This window comes from Homo sapiens, chromosome 1 (genome assembly GCF_000001405.40).
Source record: "Homo sapiens chromosome 1, GRCh38.p14 Primary Assembly".
Taxonomy (NCBI): Eukaryota; Metazoa; Chordata; class Mammalia; order Primates; family Hominidae; genus Homo; species Homo sapiens.
In genome coordinates, this window is record NC_000001.11 from 144370946 (window position 1) to 144376368 (window position 5423).

The 5423-nt window shown below is 39.7% G+C and overlaps 1 protein-coding gene across 1 annotated transcript, besides 1 other annotated feature; it reads right to left on the reverse strand.

Moving 5' to 3' along the window:
• Nucleotides 599–1100: an enhancer, noted in NCBI's record as "OCT4 hESC enhancer chr1:148645625-148646126 (GRCh37/hg19 assembly coordinates)". NCBI's record gives its function as "activates a minimal SCP1, AML or CMV promoter by ChIP-STARR-seq in primed H9 embryonic stem cells {active_cell/tissue: H9 hESC(primed)}" and the evidence as "EXISTENCE:reporter gene assay evidence [ECO:0000049][PMID:30033119]".
• Nucleotides 1930–2689, reverse strand: PPIAL4E (peptidylprolyl isomerase A like 4E). Its single transcript, NM_001144032.3, has one exon. The coding sequence runs from the start codon at nucleotides 2637–2639 to the stop codon at nucleotides 2145–2147; it is 495 nt and encodes a 164-aa protein (NP_001137504.2). The 5' UTR covers nucleotides 2640–2689; the 3' UTR covers nucleotides 1930–2144.
• Nucleotides 2690–5423: the final 2734 nt, after the last annotated feature.

The following is a 5423-nucleotide window of genomic DNA, read 5'->3' on the forward strand; positions in this document are numbered from 1 at the left end:
TTTCAATTTTCCTGTGAGGTTAGAATGAACACTTTTAGCTAAGACATTTGGGCCTCCAAATCCTAAACCTTTCAGAATGTTAGTTTATTATTTGGCTTTTACCTAAATTATTTTCTGCTTATTCAAGATCCTTAGGTCTATCCAGTTACGTTTTTATTTTTTTATTTTTATTTTTTTATTTTGAAACAAAGTCTCACTCTGTTGCCAAAGCTGGAGTGCATTGGCATGATCTGGGCTCACTGCAACCTCTGCCTCCCAGGTTCAAGTGATTCTCCTGCCTCAACCTCCCGAGTAGCTGGGATTACAGGGGCATACCACCACACCCAGCTAATTTTTGCATTTTTAGTAGAGATGGGGTTTCACCATGCTGGCCAGGCTGGTCTCAAACTCCTGACTTCAGGTGATCTGCCCACCTCAGGATCCCAAAGTGCTGGGATTATAGGCGTGAGCCACCATGCCTGGCTGTATCCAGTTACATTTTTAAGACCAGCCAGGCTTAATATATATTTGGTCTTTAGCTCAATTCAATTTGTTGCATTTTGTCCATTGTACTTCATGTGACACAGAATATATCTTAATTTAAAAAGACATATGTTTGTTGAGCTATCTGTTACATTGGTATATCTTGGAATTTTAAAAAATATAAACCACAGAAGCCAATTATGGCTGACATTAACAATAAATAGGTTTATCACAGAAATAGTGGGGAACTTGTAGAACTGTTGAGAAGGCTAGAGAGCCAGATCAAAGCTAGGCAGCCAGGAAATGTACCCCAAACCATGCTGTAGAACTCATCCAGGGAGGAAACCACTGTCACCACCAGTAAGAAGTAACACCGAAGATGCAGAGAGCAACAATTGCAGCAATTGCTCAATCCTAGGCTAACTGCAAAGCCACCAGCACCACTCCCACTTGTTCGCTTTGCAACAGATAGCTGCAAAGGAGGCTGAGAAAGCAAGCATTTGACATTTTAGCTTCTAAAGCAGGAGGTGGTTTCTTGTTTTCGTCAAAACTGAGAGGCTGAGGAATTCCTCAAACACAGGAACAAACATCAAATAGTAAATATTCATGCTTTAACTTGCTCAATATCAATATAAACTTTCCCTTTTGAAAGTAAACACGAAAGACCCAAGCTTCCTTCTAACAGAGTGCAACTATTTCTCTAATAATTGAACATGTACCTACAATCTCTTGAACAATGAAACAATAAAAAATTCTCAATCACAGCATGTACTCTAAGTCTAAGAATTCTGGGTTATGTCCATTCCTCTACGAAGTTCTTCACTATACTCTCTTGACATTCTGCCATATATCATTTAAAAATTAAGTTAATCACCCTCAATAAGCCCTGTTTTAAAAAGAGGGATAAATGGAGAGGAAAGAAGGAAAGTTGTTAAGATACATAAGTATGCACAGGACAATACAAGAGAAACAATGTGTTTGGATGTAAAGGCTCTCCTTTCTGCAAGTGGCCAGCAGGTCACTATTGGCATCTATGGCCATGTGCCCTCAGCTAACACCTCTGCTAGTCAGGGTTTTGCCTTGTGAGATGACCAAATATTCATTCCTGACAGAGAAATGTCCTTGATAATCTTTTTGTGTGAGCGTGCCATGGTCATTGTTAATTTCTTTCATTTAACAAAATAATAGACTTTATTTTTTGAGCAGTTTTAGCTTTATGGAAAGATCGAGCAGAAAGTACAGAGTTCTCACATACTGTCACCTTTATCCCACCCCCAGTTTACATTAGAGTTCACTCTTTGTGTGGTACAGGTCTAGGAGTTTTGCAAAACGCATAATGTCATGTACCCATCATTACATTATTACCAACGTATTTTCAATCCCCTAAAAATCGCCTGTTTCAGAACTATTTATCTCCCTACCCATCCCCAAACTCCTGGCAACCACTGAGCTTTTTTGTTGTTGTTGTTGTTACTTAGTTTTTATTTCATAATCATAAACTTAACTCAACTCTGCAATCCAGCTAGGCATGGAAGGGAACAAGGAAAACATGGAACCCAAAGGGAACTGCAGCAAGAGCACAAAGATTCTAGGATATTGCAAGCAAATGTGGTGGAGGGGTGCTCTCCTGAGCTACAGAAGGAATGGGTCTGGTGGTGAAAATAAAACACAAGTCAAACTCATTAGAATTGTCCACAGTCAGCAATGGTGATCTTCTTGCTGGTCTTGCTATTCCTGTACCCAAAGTGCTCCATGGCTTCCACAATATTCACACGTTCTTTCACCTTGCCAAACGCCACATGCTTGCCATCCAACCACTCAGTCTTGGCAGCGCAGATGAAAAACTGGGAACCATTTGTGTTGGGTCCAGCATTTGCCATGGACAAGATGCCAGAACCTGTATGCTTTCGGATGAGGTTCTCATCATCAAATTTCTCCCCATAGATGGACTTGTCACCGGTGCCATTAGGGCGTGTGAAGTCACCACCCTGACACATAAACCCTGGAATAATTCTGTGAAAGCAGGAACCCTTATAACGAAATCCTTTCTCTCCAGTGCTCAGAGCACGAAAGTTTTCTGCTGTCTTTGGAATCTTGTCTGCAAACAGTTTGATGGAGATGCGGCCCAAGGGCTTGCCATCCCTGGTGATTTCAAAAAAGACGACGGAGTTGACCATGGCTGATAGTACAGGGCTCACAGCGATGGTGGCGTCTGCAAAGATAACCACTGATCTTTTCACTGTCTTTATAGTTTGGCCTTTTCCAGAGTGTTGTATAGTTGAAATCACAGTATGTACCCTTTTCAGACTGGCTTCTTTCACTTAGCAAAATGTCTTTGTTTTTCTGTATCTTTTTGTGGCTTGATAGTTTTTTCCTTTTAGCACTGAATAATATTCCACTGTAGGAATATACCACAGTTTGCTTATGCAGTCACCTATTGAAGGACATCTTGGTTGCTTCCAAGTTGTGGCAGTCTTCATTTCTTTCTTTCTTTCTTTCTTTCTTTCTTTCTTTCTTTCTTTCTTTCTTTCTTTCTTCTTTTTTTTTTTTTTTTTTTGAGACAGAGTCTTGCTCTGTCACCCAGGCTGGAGTGAAGTGGCACAATCTCAGCTCATTGCAACCTCCGCCTCCCAGGTTCAAGTGATTCTCTTCCTCAGCCTCTGGAGTAGCTGGGATTACAGGTGTGCACCACCATGCCTGGTTAGTCTTCAGGAATATTTACAGGACTGTATAGAATTAGGAGCCATCAAAGGGGATCCCTGAATTCTTTCTGTTTTTCTTACAAATACCAGTTTTAAGGTCAAGATTTACTACCCCATGCCACAGTGTAGCCGCATTTTAAATTTTAAATTTTTGACTGTTTGTTTAAAGGTCTCAGGCAACCTAAAAGGCTAGATAGAAGTCTCTCATCCTCTAACGAAGGATGGATTGTAAAATGGAATACTGCTAAGACTCTCCCTTTGGGTACTAATTCTGCAAAAACCTAGAATCTCAGAGACAAGAGACAAGTATTTGGAGTGGATCATTAGATGTAATGACAAAAGGAGTCACTTCAACATTCATAACAAATATCAAAGATTGTTGTATTTTTTATATAGGAGACACCAGACAAGCTTATACTTAGTTACTAGTTCAGAGGATACACCACCACATCCTCTAGCATGAGTACAACCTTATAAGCCATTGTCTCCAGCTGGCACTGTGATTGAGTCTTTAATAAAATATTCACCATTCTGTAATAATAATAATTTTGGTTAGTGATAGGATAAATGGTGGACCAGGTGAGTCCAATGAATATCTACTCATTTGTTATACAACAAGTTCTTTTAAGAGAAGGATGTAGAACAGGATATTATGGCAGTATATATAAGGCATTCAATGTACCCGTGGAGAGTGGCGATCAGAGAAAAATGATGTCAGGTAAAGCAAATGTAATTCAAGGTTAAAGGTAGATTCCATTTACAAAATTCCTTGTTGCCTTTATCATAGAGGAGTTCCAATAAAATCAACAAGTCTGACAAAAGGTGACTGGTTTATTCACCCAGGATATGTTATTGTGTGCTTAGCCTTGGACTTTGTTGCTTGTGTGTTGGACACCTAATAGTCTTGACAGCTAAATAGGCTTTTGTAAGCGAGAGTGGTAAAGTCCAACATGTTGCTAAACCTATGTGTATTCTCTACTGCTACCACCAATGTTGCTGTTTATTAGCCTTCTAAGCAAGCAATGTAGTGCCTGGTGAAAGAGATTGTTTCATACCTTCATATCTATTTGATAACCTTCCTGATGATAGTTTGGTGAGCATTCGTATTAAGCACAAATATTCTTACACTCTGGCTCATTTTCTGTGGTTCATCTACATATTTTTTCCCCAAAACTCATTGCCACCAATCCTTCAGTCTTTGTCTTTCCGAGTCCCTAATTATCTTTTCTTTTCTTTTTTTTTTTTTTTTTTTTGAGACAGAGTTTCGCTTTGTTGCCCAGGCTGGAGTGCAGTGGTGCAATCTTGGTTCACTGCAACTTCTTCCTCCTGGATTCAAGAGATTCTCCTGCCTCAGCCTCCCAAGTAGCTAGGATTGCAGGCACACACCACCACATCTGGCTAATTTTTGTATTTTTAGTAGAGACGGAGTTTCACCATGTCAGCCAGGCTGGTTTCGAACTCCTGACCTCAGACAATCCACCTGTCCTGTCCTCCAAAAGTTCTGGGATTACAGGTGTGAGCCATCAGGCCTGGCCCCAAGTCCCTAATTATCTAGACAAATTATTAGCTGCCACATATACATCAATAATATCTCTCCTTCTAGACATCGTGGACAACCAATTACATAGGCTGAATTTCTTTTAAAATTGCATTCACGTAGGTTATAATGCCTAAGCAATCTACTTTTGGCTGCTGCTGTGATGTTGTACAGTGACTTCTGTAAATCAGGCTCAATTTTTCCCTCACTAATCAACTGGCCATAGAGAACTTCCCATGAAGACATAGGTATAGATTCTATTATTCCTACCTGCTGATGAAGCAGGATAGTTAATTGGAAAACACTTATTTCATGATAAGCAGCTCATGTTGTCATATTTTTTTGCATTGATAGGACTTCAGTTTCTACAATGGTCCAGGATCAATCAAGAGTTCTTTAAAGAAAACATTTATTTTGTCAAAGAAATGCATTTTGTTCCAAATCCTAAGAACAATAGTAGTGGTGTGTCAGAGGCTCTATTGCATCTGGATATAAAAACAAAGGGGCACAATATTCCTGACCAGTTGGGAATTATTATCTTCATCTCAATCCCATCAAAAGGTGGCAGCATGACAAGTCATGAAGTAAAAGGACCAGGTGATAAAATGAGGTCTCCAAAATCCAAAGCATCAAAGTTCTCAGTTAGTGGTCAGGGCTGCAAAGTGCCATAATTTTGCACTTTGGAAGGTATATCTTGAGAATATTGAGTGTATGAGACAAGT